This window comes from Homo sapiens, chromosome 13 (genome assembly GCF_000001405.40).
Source record: "Homo sapiens chromosome 13, GRCh38.p14 Primary Assembly".
In the NCBI taxonomy this organism is placed as follows: Eukaryota; Metazoa; Chordata; class Mammalia; order Primates; family Hominidae; genus Homo; species Homo sapiens.
Window position 1 is genome coordinate 77,321,844 of NC_000013.11, and position 18,236 is coordinate 77,340,079.

Below are 18,236 nucleotides of genomic sequence, written 5' to 3' on the forward strand. Positions count from 1 at the left end.
GCCAATGGTTAGTGCCAAGTAATAATCCCTGAGCAAGCTGAGCATGGTGGCTCACACCCATAATCCCAGCACTTTGGGAGGTGGAGGTGGGAGGATCACTTAAGCTCAGGAGTTCAAGACCAGCCTGGACAACATGGTGAGACCCTGTGTCTACAAAAAATAAAAAACAAGCCAGGCATGGTGGTGCATGCCTGTAGTCCCAGCTACTGGAGGAGACTGAGGCAGGAAGATCACTTGAGCCCAAGAGGTTGAGGCTGCAGTGAGCTATGTTCACACCATTGCACTCCAGCCTGCCTCAAAATAAGTAAAATAAAATAATCCCTGAACTTTTGCTAAAATGACTACTTAACCTCTTACAACCAAAATCCCATGCATCTGAAGGATGGACTCAAATACCATTTCTAACAAGAAAGAGATAAAGCAGCTGAAAAAACTAAGGGGGTTAAGTTTAGATTCCCCATTTTGGTCACAATCCCCTCTATTGTTTTCACTAACATTGTTCTTCTAGGACTTCAGGACCCAGATACTCTGACTCCTCTTTATCTTCCAGTCTATCAGTTCCCTCTTGGCATCACTTTCCTTTTTACCATATAGTCAAACACTGTCCCCAAAACCTTCCATTTCTTTTTTCTTTAACCCTAAATCAACTCAACTAGGTTTTCTCCATTTCTATTTTGTGTGGAAAAACATACAGTGCCATGCTGGTTGGAATTTTAAATGTGATTTTAATAATAACAACAGGTAACATTTCATGGGCACTTACCAGGTGCGGACATAATGTCCTTTTGATAACACTACAAAGTTACAAGTAAAGAAACAGACAAAGTCTAATTAACTTGCCCAATTTAACACAAGTAGAAAAAGGTAGACGTGAACTAAGGGAGTCTACCTCCAGTGCTCTAACATTTAGCCACTGTGCTATGGTGCCTCCCAAGTGCATGGTTATACCACCATTCACATTCAGAACAGATCATACATTCCTTCATACATTTCCTGTCCAACCCCTTTCCCCAACAGAATGTTCCGATTTTGATTGGCCTCATTCATCCAAAAATATATCTATTCAGTCACTGGATAAATGAAAGAGTTATTCCCACATTCTACACAGTCACTGAGACCAAAAATAAAAGAGTAAGACATGATCCTTGCCTTCTCTTCAAGTCCCCACACCCCTCATTCTCAGCAAAAACAAACAGACAAAAAACAGTAACTAATATTTCATAGCAGTCAACATGCCAAGCACATACATTGATTCATTTAATCTACAAAACAATTCATGTTAGTATTATGATCCCCATTCTACATATTTAAAAAACTGAGGCATAGAAGTTATGTAATATACTCAAAGTTACACAGCTAGCAAATGACAAAACCAGGATGCAAAACCAGTCTAGCTTCTGTGCCCAAGCTCTTAACCACTTTGTTAGACTGTCATCAAAGTCACTGAGTCCATTAGGTTTGAAACTCTCAACTTCTCAACTGTACACCTAAAGCAAAGAGTAATTAATTCATTTGACATTGACTGATAACTCACTCATCATGTTTTTGTTTCTTGAACACAAGCCTGTTCCCATTTCAAGGCCTTTATAAATTCCCAGAACATTCTTCCTCTACATCTGCCTCCTCATCATGGCAATTCAATTTAAATGCCAACTCTCAAAGAGACATTTCCTGACCATGTTACCTAAAATAGCCCCACTACAAATTGCCCTATCACATGAAATAGGTTTTATTGCCTTCACAGTTACTTATTACTAAGTGAAATTATGAGTTGTCTATTTCTCCCATTGGAGTGGATTTTCCAAGACGGCAGAGACTTTGTCTATCTTGCTCACCGCTACATCTTCAGCATCTGCAATACTGCCTGGCACAGAGCAGGCACTTGATGTTTACAGAATTCATGCCAAAAAATGTGCTAGACATTGGGATTATCAAAACGAATAGGATATGATGCCTATCCTCAATAAACTCCCAGTCTTTATATTTACAAGTACTCACCTCCACCCCTTCTATATTAACTGCTCCTTTTTTCAATGGCTAACCTCTCCACCTGTCACCTTAACTCTATCCCTGAGATCCCTTTGACCTCTTCCTGTCCCTGAGATCCCTTTGACCTTTTCCTATCAATTATCCCCTCTCTCACTTCTTCACTCTGTCTCTCCATTTAGCCTCCCATATTTGCATATCCCACCCAACCTCCTATACTTGAATATCCTTCCCTCAACTTTGAAATCCCCTTGAGTTACCAAAAACACATTCCATTCACTCCTCACCACATCCCTCTATTCTGACCACTTCCTCAAAAGTTATCAATGACCTGAAAACGGTTCTCACTTTCTTCAACATTTACCACTTCTGAGAATTTTCAATCCACTCTCCTAGAGCCACAGAGGCTACTGTTTCATGATTTTCTTCTTAATTTTGATTCCGTTTCCTTCACTGTCTCCTTTCTCTCACACCTTTAAACCTGATGCTCACTAGAGCTTCATTCTCTATTATTGCTCCATTCAGTCTCTCTAAAAGATATCATCTTCTCCTTTAACTTGTGTCCCTATACAAATAATTCTATCATTCATTCAGAGCCGAAACCCCAAGTCTACTTTCCTCAACATCTTTAATAAGAAATGTGATTTAATTCTTAATCAAATCATCAATAGAGTAGTTGCAGGCTACTTTTTGTAATAAAATAATGTGAACTTAAATAAACAATAATGTTGCGTTGAACAAGCATTAGCAGGCAATATCATAACATAATGCTGATTTCCATGAGTAGTTCTTGAAATACTTGAACTAATTCTTCATTACTTTTCATTGACGGCTTGTACAAAAATGGACCAAGGGCTAAAAAATCATTCACAAATGTTATATGATTAATCTATGTTAATTTTGTCTAAAACCGTTAATATAGTTCTAGATACACAGAAATCATATTACACTAGTAGTAGGAAGTCAAAACAGGAATATACAAGTCAAAAATTATTGCATAAGTCTGGAAACCATACACAAAATAAATTTAAATTCTTTGAGAGGAGTTTGTAAAGATGTTCCTGCGGTGCCATAATTTAGAGATTTACAGATCAAAATTATACCTAATTATCAGGGCAAACTGTCTCACGTAGTTTTGTGCTATTTTCAAAAGCATTAGCAAGAAACAGACTTGTGCCATTCTGGCCTTCAGTTCAGATAGCAAAAAATAGTTACACACGTTTACATCCATATGGTAAAACTACTGCTGTGCCCAATCCTGTAAACAATCACAGACATGAGAAAACTGGTTAACCTAGAAAAAGTGTGAACAAAGCTCCAGCTTTACAACTGTCTCCAACAGATAAGCCATGATACCTAGTGATAAGCTACAAATACCTGACTTACAGCCTCGTCCCTTTCATAATGGGAGAAAAAGACACCTAACAATTGCCTAATAAATTGCACATTCAATAAATAACAGTAAACTCTTTAACTCATTTTGACAGTTTCCTACTATGTTTTCCCCATGTACTGCAAGAAGCTGTGGGAAAAAAAAGATGAAGCCAACTCCCAATTACCACTGTCAAAGCTGGTGAAACAAGTCAGTCACCAACCTTCAGGGTATGCGGCATGTAAGGGCATGGAAAAGAAAACAATAGGAGAGCCCTCAGCAAAAAAAAGCACCCACATTTTAAGAAAAAGAAAATGAAACCAACTGAACATCTACATCAAGGAAGCTGAAGGTGTAGCCAACCCAAGTAAAAGAGACAAATCTACGCGCTATTCAGATTTTCTAGCTAGTGGCAGTTGAACGCTGTACCAGCTGTCATATTCTGAAGTTCTGCAGTTTTCCCCTTTTCCCTACAAAACCCTCTCTACTCTAAAGCCTGTAAGTAACAGAGGAAATCGAACAGAGGATGAAGAGAAATGGCCGATGGGACATCAGATCACAAGAGTAACTGCAACCTCATTTCTAGAAGACCAAAAGGCCCGGTTATCAAAGTACAGCTCTAAAAATCTCTATCAGACACCTTTCGCATCCACACAGATCTCCATCTGCGTCCCTTATTCATAAATCTTTTTAAAGCAAACCTCACGCCTATCCCTCGGGCCTGCTTATCCAAAACTCAACCAATCTATACCATGACTCCTCTTGGTGAAAGGCAGATTGAAGGGAGGTGGAAAGGGCTGGAAGGAATGTCATGGGAGAGGCGGCACGTGCAAATAACATTGCGGCAGAGACACTGAAAACGCCACTTCCCTTGCCACTGTTGCAATTCTCTTCGTGTATCATCCTCTTACCCTCTCTACCCATGCCACCTCCTACCTCAACGATACACACACGTGTCACAGCCGACCAGCACCATCGCCTTTTCCAGCATCACAGGTTCCCCTACCACCCCTCACTATCCCCCCACATAGGCAGGCAGACACACACACACACACACACACACACACACACACACACACACACGAGAAACTGCAGCCACCGCACCCTCCTATCTCGATAAGTGCTCCTGCCAACAGACATCCAGAGCGGACTGAAAGCTCAATAAATGCGCAGGTACACACACGCAAGCACACACACACGCGGGTGCACGCGCGGCATGGGGCGCAAGGAAGGGCGGCATGGGGCGCAAGGAAGGGCACCCTGGGGACGCACCTGGAGGCTGGGTGTCCAGCGCTGCCGCCCCCCTGGTCCCTGTCATTGAGCGCAGCGGTATAAATCCTCCGGTAGCGGTCGGCCAGGGCCCGGCCTGACAGCAGCAGCTGGTAGTGACCCCGGGAGTCCGCGGCGGGTAGCCCCAGCCCCAGCCCCGCAGCAGCCACGGAGCCGTCGGGAACCGGCATGAACAGCGCCCCCGGCGCCGGGGAGGAAGAGAAGGTGGCGGCTGGGTAGAATCCGTCCCCGCCGAGCCCCGAGGAGGCGGCGGCGGGGGAGGCAGTCGCTGCGCACATCATCATCCTCGCCGCCGCCGCCGCCGCCGCCGCCTCGTCCCCGCGGGCCGGGCGGGCAGACACGCGCGCGCACACACAGCCCTTTTCCAACGACGACGGCTCCGGCGGCGGCCTCTGGCTCCCGCAGCAGGGAGACTACAAAGACAGCGACCTCCTTCTCCTCCTCCTTCTTCTCCTCCTCCCCCCCGCGCCGCCCTCGCCGCTACTGGGGCCGCTCATCTAACCCCGCCACCCCGGGAATGTGAGGAGGAGGCGGTGCCGCCACTGCCGCCGCCACCACCGCTACCACCGCCACCACCGCCGGGGCTACCCGCAATGGGAAGCTGCCGGCCTCACAGAGCATGCGCCACTCCTCGCACATGCTCAGTAACTGCCGCCCCTTTTCCTCCCCACCCCCTCTCCGCCACCACTCCCTCCGCCTCGGGGCTTTGGGTTTGGGGCTGTTGGGTTGTGCGGAATCTGAAGTAGTCCACTTCTCCGGGTTTTACTGGCAGCTTGAAGAAGAGTAAGGAAAGTGCTGGGGAGGCTGTCAGCTACTGACGTTCGACTTCAGGTTCCCTCCAGGTGGAAGAACGAGGACCAGAAAGCAAGGGGGAACGTGCCCATCGCCAGAGGAGGAGTGGCACGCTCTTCTGCTACCTCTTCTCCAAGGCTCTGCTGCCAACAGGAAGATTTACTGTGAATTGTGCTGGTTAATTCAGAGTTTAAGGCAGAGAAAACCATCCCAATTAGAAGTGCCTTTAGCGATCTTATTTTATATGGTTTTTGTCATTAGGATTTACGCTTGTTTAACACAGCTTTTACTTACAAAGACAGGTAGTAATCTAGCACATTCTTTTTTGTGTGTGAAAGTATTTTGTGTGTGAAAGTATAACAGATAGGCTAGTATTCACAAGCCAGAGTCATTCCCAAATTCTTGTTCTCAACGGAGCAATAATATTTTTTAAATTACTCTTTTTTATTGACTCCTCACTCACCTAAGAGTGCACTTTTATCTCTTGGCAGTGGTCATTTAATGGTTTATTTTTTTCTGCCCAAACTTACATTTTTAAAGATAATTCTTGAATGCGATCTGAAACAATAATTGTGACGGAGACTGTATAGCGTCTGAAAATGTCAGATCCATCACATATCTTGTTGTTGTCTATAAAAAAGTAACATTTGCTCAGTCCTTTGTTCCAAGCTAACCTACGAACCCCATCTAAGTATATGCTCTAGAAATATACGTGCCAATGCACTTTGATTCCTACTACGTTTTATCCTTTGACTCTCAATTTGAAGAGTTTCCTAATTTACAGTCCTGACAAAATAATTTATAAGTTCTGTCATCCCAGTACTGTATCTTTCATCTATGTACTAGTTCTTATATCTGTGCCTCTTCTTCGGATGGCCTTCTCTTAAAAAAAAATAAAATAAATGTTAAAAAATCCTCCTTAGTGTTTGAGAAGTGCAAACAACAAGGAATAGGAAAGTAAATTAATTCTAGTTTTAGGGTGGAAGGTTGCTGAAAGCAATGCATTTTTTTCTGAAGCTTTAAATAATGGATGGATTTCATTTAGTTTTTTTAAAGATAATTAGCAGTGGGATAAACATAGGAACAAAGGACAAGACATGTGGAATCATAGTATTTTAGTACTGTAATTAGCCCTGTTAAGTTTTTGTATTTGTCTTGTTTCCTTACCTAAGTTCCTTCAGAGCTTGCTGCTTTTGTGTCTCCTTCAGCCACTTCAGGACTTTGCATGTAGTAGGTATCCAGTAAGTATTTATTAGACTAAATTTCTATCCTAATGCTTCAGCACAGTTAAAGACCTCAGTGTTGACCAGGCAGCCCCTAACCCTGGAGTGAGAACCAAGACAATGGTGTAGAGGCAGCTAAATTCTAAGAATTCTAAGGCCTGACAGGTAAGCAATGAGAGGGCCCATTACTATTGCAAGACCTAGCAGGGTAGCTAAAAGGCTCTGAAATCAGACAGCCCTGGAATTGGATCCTGACTCTGCTACTTAATACTTGTCTGGCTTTGGGCAAATTATCTCCTCTGAATAATGCTCAAAAGAATACCCACTACATGAGATTGAGGGAGGACTTAAAGGATCTAGGATGTCCAACTTGGCACATGAATTTTCACAAATGGTAGCACATACTAAACAAAACACTAGGTTTTCCGTAGGGTAGCAATGGTGTCTGTTCAACCATCACAGGCTCCTAGCACAGGGTCTAGCCCTGAACAGGAGGGAAATAGATGTTGGCTGAATGAATGAATGTTGCTTGCACAGAAAACATTTACAGCGCAGGCTCAGGTGGTGGAATGTGCAGTCACTGCCCATTTAGAGTTTCTAGTGGACATTGACCCGCGTGGCTGCCCTGGTCTCCGGGCTCTTCCCACCATTCATTAATTTCGCTTCAATCTTTACTGCTGTTCAGTCCCAGACAGGCCCCTACGGAGCCTGATGGGTACACTCAAAACCCGGAAACTGGATAACTTGCTAAGAAGCCCGATGTCATTGAGCTGCGCAACTAGGCGTGCGCAGAGTCGCACACATGCTCACTTAGGTATCCGAGAGTGGCATTTCTGTTGCGGTTGGCAGCGTTTCCTTCCACGGCAGCGGCAGCGGTCGCTCTCCTCAAAATTGATAGCCAGTGCAGCGTTTTTTCTCCTCCTCCTCCTCTTCCTGCCTCCGCACGGCGCGCTCCCCGGTCCCTGCAACTGCCACAGCTACCGCCTTGGCAGCTGGGCAACTTGGAAGGCTCCCCTGGGATGGCGGGGGAGTGGGGCGCATGCCAGAAAGAAAAAGGCATTTGGAGTCACCCTTACTTCTACTGTCAAGGGGACGTGAAGGAGAGTGTGGTCACAAGTCGCGAGGGTCGCCTGAACCGTCGCTGCAGATCGGAGACGTGGGTTTCTGGCAGTATGCAAAGCAAGCGTCCCCTCCCGCCGCTCCTGCGAGCTCTACTACCGAATGCCTTACGCAGCCCTTGTGTTTGGGGAAAGAGGGGGACCTATACAGAATGAAAAAACACAGAGGGCTTTGCTTTTCTTTCCCCACCCCACCGAGCTCGGCCCCCGTGCTTTCTGCGCTGCCATCTTAGTTCCTCCAGCGGCCGGGCTGGGCGTGTGTGCATTTGTGTGTACAGGGAGGGCTGCAGCCGGGGGGCGTGGGGGCCGCCTGGGCGGCTTGGGTGTCGGAATGGGCTAGACAGCAGTTCACCCACGACACATTCGCCCTCAAAGAATAGCATTGAACTACGGCAAATCCTGCCTGTGCCCATTTTATTACGGGCGTAGTATGTTTTATTCTTTGTGGTTGGTATGCTCATTTCGCAAAAGAGATCTCTCTGTCCTGTGCCCATGTAATAAGACTATGGCTTCATCTTTCCCCTTGTGATCACAGATTTAGTCGTTCTTTTCCACTTAACATTGCAAACCTGGACCACAGTTTTTTGAACTCTTATCACATTTACATTTTTCCTACTCTCATCTTTAACGATTTTGTTTTTAAAGGAAGCTACCCGTGCTGATGTAGTAAATAACAGGGCAGGAACCATAACGTGTATATAAGAGGACAGATTAGTGTTGTTTCATTTAAAGGGTTAATATTGTACTAAAGCTACAAGACTACAAACACAGGAAGTATGTATATTATTAGGTACATCGAGACTGCTGAAAATGCTGTGGTAAAGTCTGCGTTTGTTTCCTGGATTTGTACAACAATGTATTGGGGAATTTAAAAACAAAATTGGTAGCTGAGAACAATTTGGGAAAAAAAAAAGAAAAAGCTTAGGCTTGAAGAGTGAAGACATGCTTTACTCTTCAGTGACCTTCTCTTTTTAAGGGTAATAAGATAGTGCATTCTTGACAAATATATTGCACTTTAAAATAAAGTATATTTCATAGAATATATTTAGTACTCCAAGCTGAAGGGAAAAATTCAACATGGCTATCGAAATTATTTTAAACATAAATTACATATTGCATCCCCTGGCTATCTTAACCTCATGCTTTAAACAACTATATTTTTAGGGCCTTGGGATATTCAGTAACTTGTAAGCATGATGAGTTAATGTTTTTCTTTTTTATTCATGGTAGTTTTAAAAGATGTAAATTATATGTCCAAGTTTTCCCACATCCAAAAATTTAGGTTCCAGGGATCCTAAGTTATATATTGACATATATTGACATTTTCATCCGTGAAAAATTATCCTAAAATATATTAGTATATGTTTTTTAAGTATGTGAATTCAATACTATATATCTGAATGCAAATCACATTCTTTCAAAATCTCATTGTTGTGATGCATTTAGCCTAGAGGATGTTTTCACAACTGATGTAGAAAGTTATATAAAGTATAATTGTCCTAAAAACAGAAAGTTTAAAACTATAGCATTTCAACCTTGAAAACTTTAGTATAGTTTATAAGTTATTAGATTAATCTTTTTTAAATTTTGTTATTACTTTAAAATTTTTTTGTGGGTACATAGAAGGTGTATATATTTATAGGATGCATGAGATATTTTGATACAGGCATGCAATGTGAAATAAGCACATGATGGAGAATAAGGTATCCATCCCCTCAAGCATTTATCTTTTGAGTTACAAACAATCCAGTTACATTCTTTCAGTTATTTTAAAATACACAATTAAGTTATTATTGACTATAGTCACCCTATTATGCTATCAAATAGTAGGTCTTATTCATTCTTTCTGATTTTTTTTTTTTGTACCCATTAACCATCCCCATCTCCCCTCCCCAAACTCCTCATGACTCTTCCCAGCTTCTGGTAACCATCCTACTCTCTATGTCCATAAGTTCAATTGTTTTGATTTTTAGATCCCACAAGCGAGTGAGAACATGTGATGTTTGTCTTTCTGTGTCTGGCTTATTTCACTTAACATAATGATCTGTAGTTCAGTCCATGCTATTGTAAATGACTGGATCTCATTCTTTTTATGGTTGAATAGTACTCCATTGTGTATGTGTGTACCACGTTTTCTTTATCCCTTTATAGGGTGATGGACACTTACATCAATAAGTTTGCTTCCAAATCTTGGCCATTGTAAACAGTGCTGCAACAAACAGGAGCGCAGACATCTCTTCTATATACTGATTTTCTTTCCTTTGGGTATATACCCAGCAGTGGGATTGCTGGGTCATATGGTAGCTCAATTTTAAGTTTTTTGAGGAACCTCCAAACTGTTCTTAATAGTGGTTGTACTTATTTACATTCCCACCAACAGTGTTCAAGTGTTCCCTTTTCTCCACATCCTCGCCAACATTTGTTATTGCCTGTCTTTTGGATAGAAACCATTTTCTTTGTTGTTGTTTGTTTGTTTTTTGAGACAGTCTCACTCTGTCACCCAGGCTGGACTGCAGTGGCATGATCTCAGCTCACTGCAACCTCCGCCTCCCGGGTTCAAGCGATTCTTGTGCCTCAGCCTGCCAAGTAGCTGGGATTACAGGCACGCACTGCCGCACCTGGCTAATTTTTGTATTTTTAGTAGAGACGGGGTTTCACCATGTTGGCCAGGCTGGTCTCAAACTTCTGACCTCAGGTGATCCGCCCCCTCTTGGCCTCCCAAAGTGCTAGGATTAGAGGCGTGAGCCACCGCGCCTGGCCATAAGCCATTTTTAACTGGCGTGATATTAGATTGATCTTTATTACTAAAATTAAATAGTAAGAGGATAATTGAAATTCTCATGTAGAATAGCAACTATGTCATATTAATGTTTCTTTTAAATATATTTAATAGGGTTATTGCCAAATCCAGATAACCTGATATAACTAAATGGCTCTAAAATGACTATATTAGTCATGGTCTTTTTTTTCAAAGACTTTTACCTCTTTCATGCTACATCTTCTCATCAGTAAAGTGAATAATAATAGCACCTACTTCATTAGATTATTTGAGGGTTAAATTAAATAATCTGTATGACTTACTTGCTTAACATACTACATAGCAGGCCATAGCTATTATTGTCAATATTATGTTAATATATTAATGATCCCTTATTTGAGGGATGTCCTAATCTTGTGCTAGAAGTAACAAAACAGTTATACAATTTGAGTTATATAGATTAGGATTTGAAAGTTGGTTTTCTTGTTGTTTTCTTAACAAAGAGTCCTGTCCACAAATAAAGATTTACTGTGTCTTGACATGACAGGAAGAATAGAATCCAAAGACAATAGTTGTTTCCCTAAAATACCCATTCTTGTATAATTTGTTAACTCACAAAACACATTGCCTACCTTCATAAATTCAATAAGTGTTTTGAATTTTTACTGATGGATACATTTCGACATGTAACAGCCAAAACAGACTATAGTTTCTTCTCAAAAGGCTAGTAGCTATGGTATCTCTCCAGATTCAAAAACTATAAATCATCTATAATTTACATTTTCTGTAGGTTAATCTGAATTTAACATCAAAATCTTGACCTTGCCTAGTTTGGCTTCCTATTTTGATGAATATTTCTACATTTATATTTAGAAAGTAAAAAGGAGCCAATTTACCAGTTCTTCATAAAAAATTTTTCTTAAGAATATTTTGCCTCTTTTTTGATATCATATCAGGTTTGCCTTCAAACTAGACCGGAAGCTATTTTAAAAGTTTTTAGAACATAAAAGTCATAAAAAATATTTCACAGTCTTCCTAAATTAACTTGTGGTGACAGAATTTTCTTGGATAGACAAAATAATCTTACCTATTTGATGCCAAATTGTTGTGAACTGAATTAATTACTAATTTTTGTGGTGCAGCAAAGACAACACTGCTTGCAGAGAAAAACTGTGGCATCCCTGCAGGTACTTCTAAAGTCTACCTCAGTGTTGGTGGGGTGGTGTGCCAGGAATCTGCTTATTTGCTCTTGAGTCCATTCCTGTCCATTCTCCTGCTCTGCTCTGTACAGCAGGGGAAGGATCCCTGCAAATTCCATTTGTCAGGCTTCCCTTGCCAGCTAGTTTCAAATTAGCTTCAGCCTGGGGGCAAAATGGGTGACTGGCAAGTAGGCAGCAGGAGAATCAATTTCTCTCTCTCTCTCTCCCGGCACCCCACCCCCGCCAACTTTAGGCAACATCTCCTCTGTGGTTCCAGCTCCTGCTGAACAGCTTCTCCTTCCATGGTCCAGCTGCAATTAGGTAACCTCTCGTAAAGCCAGTTCTCACTGAGCAGCCCCAGCTTGTGGACCCTGGTAGCAGCGTTTTCTCCTTGGTGTCTCCAGCCCTAGGGATTGTAGATATCTCTGTCCCTTGTTTGGCTTTTCTATTCCTAGAGTAGCATTGCAATTAGTTCCCCATATTCAATTCTCTCTCTTAATGACCTGGCATGCATTTATCTGTTTTCCTGATTGGACCCTGAATGGTACAGATGGTCTTCCATCCAAATAATAAACCTGATTTGGTTTCTCAGCCAAAGGATGGCATTTTATCATCTTTCATCTGGTCTTGAAAGCTTGCGGATCTGACATCAAGCAGCAAAACAGAAATCTGCTTTGAAAATATTAGTTGGCTCACTCACACCCATTCTAAATCCCCTTCTTCCTTGCCTGCCTCCATTCTGGATGCCGGAAAAAGTGAAATATTTTCTCTGTGAGTCTGTCCTGCACCTAGAGTTGGCATCGTGACACAATTCAGGACAGCACAGTGAGGGAAAATCTGCTAGTACTACTTCTCTCTCTCTCCCTTTCTTTCTACCTAAAAGATGGACAGAATGGCTGATGTTCATAGCCATGAGACAAGAGGCATGAGATAAGGCCAAGAGCATCATAAATATTGACCCTGACATCATAGAACCATTGAACAAAGTTTCAAACTTATTTTTATACAAGGTAAAAATCAAATTCCTAATTGTCTCAGCTACTGTTGATGAAGTATTCTGTTGCTTGCAGCCAAAGCATTCTACCTGATATACCAACTCTAGCATCTTCTCAGGACACATTCCCTATCTAGAATCTATCAGTAATCTGTCCGAATGAAATATGTATTTATGGAAAATACTTAAAAGCATAAAAACCCATTCATTCCCCTGGGTCCTAAATTTTCTTCCTTTAATCAAGTCAAAACATCAGAAAGTTCACTGAACTGTATTTTATATGATGCCTTTGGATTTTATTAAAGATTACTATAGTGTGCCTCCCAGATACCCCTTCAGGTATGAGGCTCTTATTCCCCAGCTGTTGAGAGTGTTGACTGCTGGCTGCTCAAAGCTAAACCCCTGCCCATAAGTTGCTCTTGGCCTTGGGGAACTGCCTTATGCCAGGTTACAACCCCTCTCCAGAGGGTGCCTGCATCAAATAACTGGTCAAAGTGATATACAAAGACAAGGCACTCTTACCTTAATTCAGAATGATTTTGAAGAGCCATTCCAGCTCTTAGAACTCTGTGCAATTAGCTAAGGCCTCTGTTGCAGTTACATTACAGTTCCATTTTTCTCTCTCAACCAATCCTGCTTTTCTCACTCATTCACTAGTAGTATTGTCAGAACTCCACAATAAACTTCTTGTATGCCAGTCTACATCTGTTTCCCAATCTCTTTCCCAGGGAGCCCAACTTAATTCAGTTGTAAGGGGAGTGGTCTGAAGAACCAGAGTCTGAAATGGAATTTTGGAGCTGGATTATCCACTGGTTAGGTGGCAGTGAGGGCCCCCTGTAATGGACAGTTTCTAAGGTGACCTCGTCATGATCTCTATATCCTAATATCTCTGTTTTTGTATAAACTTTTCCTCTTGTGTGTGGGTAGGACCTGCAAATTCCTCCTAAACAATAGAATATGGCAAAAGTGACAGGATGTACTTGATTATATTTATGTAATTGAGTTGCATACTACTGTAACTATGTTGCTGGGACCATCTCTCCCTTAGTGGCTTTGAAGAAGCAAGTTGGCATTTTGTAAGCCATCACACAGAGAGGTTCATATGATAAAGGGGTTAATGGTAGCTTCTGACCAACAGCCAAAGAGGAACTGAGTCCTCAGCCTGGCAGCCTGCAAGGAATTGAATTCTGACAAATACCATATGAGTTTGGATGTGGTTCCTTTCCAGTTGAGCCTCAGATGAACTGCATCCCCAGCTGACATCTTGATTAGAGCCTTGCAGAGGACAGTGATAAGTCATGCCCAGACTCCTGATACACAGCAACTAGAAGACAGTGTCATTTTAAGTTTGTGGTAATATTGTTATGCAGCAATAGAAAACTAATAGGCTATCACTGATGATGGATGGATAGAATATGGAGCATTGATAGCCCTGACATGTGGTAAGTGTAGCTGTGCAATTGCTGAAACTTTCACTGGAGATGGCTAGGCTGGGAGACCTGTGGATGTGAATGCGCCTGCAGGTGCAGTAGCTCAAGTTTTGAGAGGTTCAAGGAAGGTGTTAGTTATAAAGTTAGTGGAATTAGATTCCCCTTGTTGAGTGCATAGATGTCTGAGGCATGCCAGATACCTCCTACAAGTTAAAGGGTAAATTATCTCATCTTGTTCTTCCTATCTTTTTTCTTTATTTTCTGAAGGCACAATATTTACTTGAAAATATTGCTTTGAGGCATTTCTTGAATGACACAGATGACTGACAGCTTTAAGTGAAGCCCAGAACAGAAAAAAAATTCTGCATCATTTCTAGGCTGTGTGAAAAGCACTTCTGCTCCTTGGGCCATACGACGTTACAGAACCTATGAAATTACAGATGTCAGTGACAGGAAAAGATGCTTTGGAATTAATGGGAAGTTTCAGTGGGAAAATCACAAAGAAGAGCTTAAGGACTCTGGAGCAAAACCATGTGATCTTTAGCAAAAACATTATGCACTGTTTGAAAAATGGCTCTTGGCATACTATTTGAGCTCTGAGAGAGACAGAATATCTCCCCTTGAGATGTCAGGTGATCACAAGATATGTCAAGTGGCTAGGACCACCCACTGGGAGCTGCGTTTTGTCAGACCACCAACTCATAAGGTCCAGTGGGCCCAATGTCTACCTATGATAAAGTGGAGGTGATATACCCAGAACTGGGTATGGGCTGGCCATAGCACAAGTAAGCTGCATGAGGATGAGGCCAGACGCCTATATTGTCCCCCACTGTTGCACTGGTGCCTGTCTCTAAGCTCAAATATATGGCTGTTTGGGTAGGGGAGGGAAAAAGTTGAGCTTGTTTCATGCGTTGGCTGGCTTGGGAAGTGGAAGCAGGCTGAAAATGGACAGCTGTTGCACTGTGATCCTGACAGTGCAGGATCACTAGATAGTGATCAGGCAAAATCCTCTCAATGGTTCAGACTTTATGCAGTATACATTCTCATTCATTTTACACATAAGAGAAGTAGTCTGAAGTAAGAATATGTAATACTCGTGGTAGTGGCAGATGTCTTGGCTCTTTGGTTGAGGGACTGAAAGTTAGAAGATTGGGAAGAAGAAGGTCTGTAAAAGAGGTAGGTGAGTGGACTTGTTGGAGTGAGCACAAAGCATGAATATCTTTGAATCAGTCTCATGATGATGCCTCTCAGATCGCATCTCACCTGGAAGAGTCAGTGAACAATCACATAGACAGGACGATTCCACCAGTTGAAGTTACTCTCTGTTTTTGTCCACCTGATGGTGGCACAAAAGGCACATGGATGGAGTAGCTCTGGTGCAGAGATGGAGGCTCTATAGGGTGGCAAGGACGGAGGTTATGCATGGAACTTGCAGCAAGGACTGTCACTGAGCAATGCTGATCTAGCTACTGCTACTGCCAAATGCACAAACTGCCAGCAAAAGAGACTAACATTAAGCCCTTAAGACAGCATGATCCCTCAAGGAGACCAGCCAGGCACTGGCTGGATAGTTGATTACGTTCCACCTTGGAAGGGTCAGTGATTTAACTTGACTGAGATTAGTACCTATTCTGATATAGGTTTGCCTTCTTTGGCCACAGGACTTTCATTGGCCAGCACCATTATCTGAAGACTCACATAGATATGGGATCCTGAAAAGCATTGTCTCAGACCAAGAAGCCCACTTACCTTATGGTATCTGATGTGTGACAGTAGATACATGTCTGTGGTGGGCTGAATAATGCCCCCCGTCCCAAGATGTCCATGTTATAATCCTCAGAACGTGTAAATATGTACCTTTACGTGGCAAAAGGGTCTCTGCAGATGTGATTAAGTTAAGCATCATCTTCGGATGGAGAGATTATCCTGGCTTATCCAGGTGGGCCCATATAATCACAAGAGTTCTGATAAGAGGGAGGCAGGCGGGTGAGAGTGAGAGAAAGTGATGTGACTACAGAAGCGGAGTCAGAGAAGAAGATGCCGTGATGGAGTGGAGGTGCAAGAGAAAGAGAAAGATCTGAAGGTGCTACGCTGCTGGCTTTAAAGGTGGAGGAAGGGCCAGGAGCCAAGAAATGCAGGTGGCCTCTAGAAGCTGGAAGAGATCAGGAAAAAAATTCTCCCCTAGAACCCGTGAAGGAAATGTAGCCTTATTTACATCTTGATTTTAGGACTTCTGACCACCAGAAATACAAGATAGTTTGTTTTAATCCAGTAAATGTGTCGCAGTGGCAATAGGAGACTGATAAAATGTCCATTGGATCCACTTATCCTATTACCTAAAATGCCACCCAGAACCTGCTGTTGATGGAATAGTGCTGTGGTCTTTTGAAGGTCTCATTGAGGCACAGCTACACATAGTAGACTTTAAGTGAACACCTATTCTGTGATGCTGTGTTTCTGATAGAATATATGAGTTCAGGAGTCCAGAGTGGAAGTGGTAGTAGCTCTACTTTCAGTGACCTCTTAGAGAATTTGTGGTTTCTGTTCTGCTCAGGCTCCCGGTTCCAAAAGGTGTAACACTTCCACCAGAGGACCTAGTAAGAACCCCATTGGACTTTAAGTTATGGTTGCTTTCAGTCGCTTCAGGCCCTTCAGTCCAAGAGACCAGCAGATAAAGAAAGGAGTCCTACACTGGCAGGTATAAGTGACCTCTATTAGCAGGAGTAGATAGGGCTGCCATTACATATGGCCACAGAGAAGAATATGTCTAGCACTTAGGTGATCCATGACTGTGTCTCTTGATACTCCTTACTTAATTTTGACATTAAATGAACAAGTACAGTCACCATGGTCTGAGAAGGGCATGGTGACCAGCGGCTCAGATTTCTGAGATGAGAGTGTGGGTAATTCTGTTCATAGGCTCTCTAGACTAGCAGGGGTTCTAGCTGAAGGAGAAATCAATCTAGGACGCATGTGGAAGAAAGGCATTATGAGTTTCAGTTGTAGCACTGAAACCAGCTACAGCAACAAGGGCTCCAGTTCATACCATGTGTCTTCCTCTTTTAGGTTTCAACAGGAAAAAACAAACAACTACCCACAGTCCTGGACATAGGATGAACTCTCTAGAGAAGCAAGTGGGTCTGAGCAATGCTGGGGATGGACTGTAATGGATTTCGCAGTGTATTGCCCGGATTGCTCTCTTGGGAGCGAGTCCCTTATTTCCCAGCTGTCAGAAGTGTTGGCTGCCGACAGCTCACAGCTGAGCCCTTTGCTGAGACTTGTCCTCAGCTGACGACTGCTTCCTGGCTTATGGTCATGTCACCTCCCTGAGGTGCAGTTTGCTTCAAGTGACTTAACATTGCAGTGGTACAAAGACCTAGTCCTGTCCCCCTAATGTGGAGACAACTCCAAGGGCCAGGCCAATTCCAGAACTCCCTGTGAGTTTGGCTGATACCTCTGTTTTTAATTGATCCTCAGTTCACTTCTCCCTCTATCTAATTCTGCTTCTCTGACATCTTTACAGGTTGTGTTCCTGAGTATACTTGCTAGTAACCTTCCTGCATACAAGTTTTTGTTTCAGAGCCAGTTTCCTGGGGGAACTGAAACCTAGACAATTATAATGAGTAAAGGACATAATCTGTCATTTCACCTGCTTAAAATAATGATGACATTATTTATGACATCGTGTCATGACCCAAATTTCTCACCTTAGGATTTTGTTTTAGAATTAAGTACTCACGAAGACACTACTTTCCTGAAAACCTGTTCTCTCCCTTTATTAATGAAAAACTAGACAATTGATCATTATTCCCTTTATATTTGGCTACTGAGAGAATAAACTTGATATTTTGTTACAGTCCTTCCCCAAATTCTGAAAAAGTTGTTAAAACATCTGTAGCAAATGGAAGCAGATATCACTTTTATTACAATAACGGTTAAGTGGGAGGATAGAGCTTAATGTAAAGCTAAGAAAGCTCTCTCCTCTAAACCTCAAATGCTAGCAATTTTATCCATCCACTCACTTTAGTACAGGCAGGGCAGTTCTCCCTATGCAACAGGGAGGAAATTGCCTGC

General features: G+C 42.5%; 2 protein-coding genes and 1 long non-coding RNA gene across 3 annotated transcripts in view, besides 6 other annotated features; 1 reads left to right on the forward strand and 2 right to left on the reverse strand.

The window, feature by feature from the left end:
• The window catches only part of MYCBP2 (MYC binding protein 2), a 282,438-nt gene extending 277,187 nt beyond the window's left edge, over positions 1-5,251 (reverse strand). The window contains exon 1 of the mRNA NM_015057.5: positions 4,631-5,251. Coding sequence (NP_055872.4) covers positions 4,631-4,932 — 302 coding nt within the window. The 5' untranslated portion in view covers positions 4,933-5,251. The remainder of the gene's footprint in view (positions 1-4,630) is intronic.
• Positions 3,551-3,730: an enhancer, noted in NCBI's record as "active region_7840". NCBI's record gives its function as "activates an Ori minimal core promoter by ATAC-STARR-seq in GM12878 lymphoblastoid cells {active_cell/tissue: GM12878}" and the evidence as "EXISTENCE:reporter gene assay evidence [ECO:0000049][PMID:35858748]".
• Positions 4,671-4,790: a silencer, noted in NCBI's record as "silent region_5418". NCBI's record gives its function as "represses an Ori minimal core promoter by ATAC-STARR-seq in GM12878 lymphoblastoid cells {active_cell/tissue: GM12878}" and the evidence as "EXISTENCE:reporter gene assay evidence [ECO:0000049][PMID:35858748]".
• Positions 4,831-5,210: a silencer, noted in NCBI's record as "silent region_5419". NCBI's record gives its function as "represses an Ori minimal core promoter by ATAC-STARR-seq in GM12878 lymphoblastoid cells {active_cell/tissue: GM12878}" and the evidence as "EXISTENCE:reporter gene assay evidence [ECO:0000049][PMID:35858748]".
• Positions 5,062-5,145, reverse strand: LOC127898562 (uncharacterized). Its single transcript, NM_001414702.1, has one exon. The coding sequence runs from the start codon at positions 5,143-5,145 to the stop codon at positions 5,062-5,064; it is 84 nt and encodes a 27-aa protein (NP_001401631.1).
• LOC107984564 (uncharacterized) lies at positions 5,202-6,355 on the forward strand. The gene is made up of 2 exons (XR_001749930.2): positions 5,202-5,292; positions 5,421-6,355. It is a non-coding gene; the product is annotated as an uncharacterized LOC107984564 (long non-coding RNA).
• Positions 5,401-5,730: an enhancer, noted in NCBI's record as "active region_7841". NCBI's record gives its function as "activates an Ori minimal core promoter by ATAC-STARR-seq in GM12878 lymphoblastoid cells {active_cell/tissue: GM12878}" and the evidence as "EXISTENCE:reporter gene assay evidence [ECO:0000049][PMID:35858748]".
• Positions 7,752-7,831: an enhancer, noted in NCBI's record as "active region_7842". NCBI's record gives its function as "activates an Ori minimal core promoter by ATAC-STARR-seq in GM12878 lymphoblastoid cells {active_cell/tissue: GM12878}" and the evidence as "EXISTENCE:reporter gene assay evidence [ECO:0000049][PMID:35858748]".
• Positions 17,458-17,647: an enhancer, noted in NCBI's record as "active region_7843". NCBI's record gives its function as "activates an Ori minimal core promoter by ATAC-STARR-seq in GM12878 lymphoblastoid cells {active_cell/tissue: GM12878}" and the evidence as "EXISTENCE:reporter gene assay evidence [ECO:0000049][PMID:35858748]".

Excerpts from the sequence above, each read along its gene's own strand:
- LOC127898562 (NM_001414702.1), bottom strand. The coding sequence starts at position 5,145 with ATGAGCGGCCCCAGTAGCGGCGAGGGCGGCGCGGGGGGGAGGAGGAGA.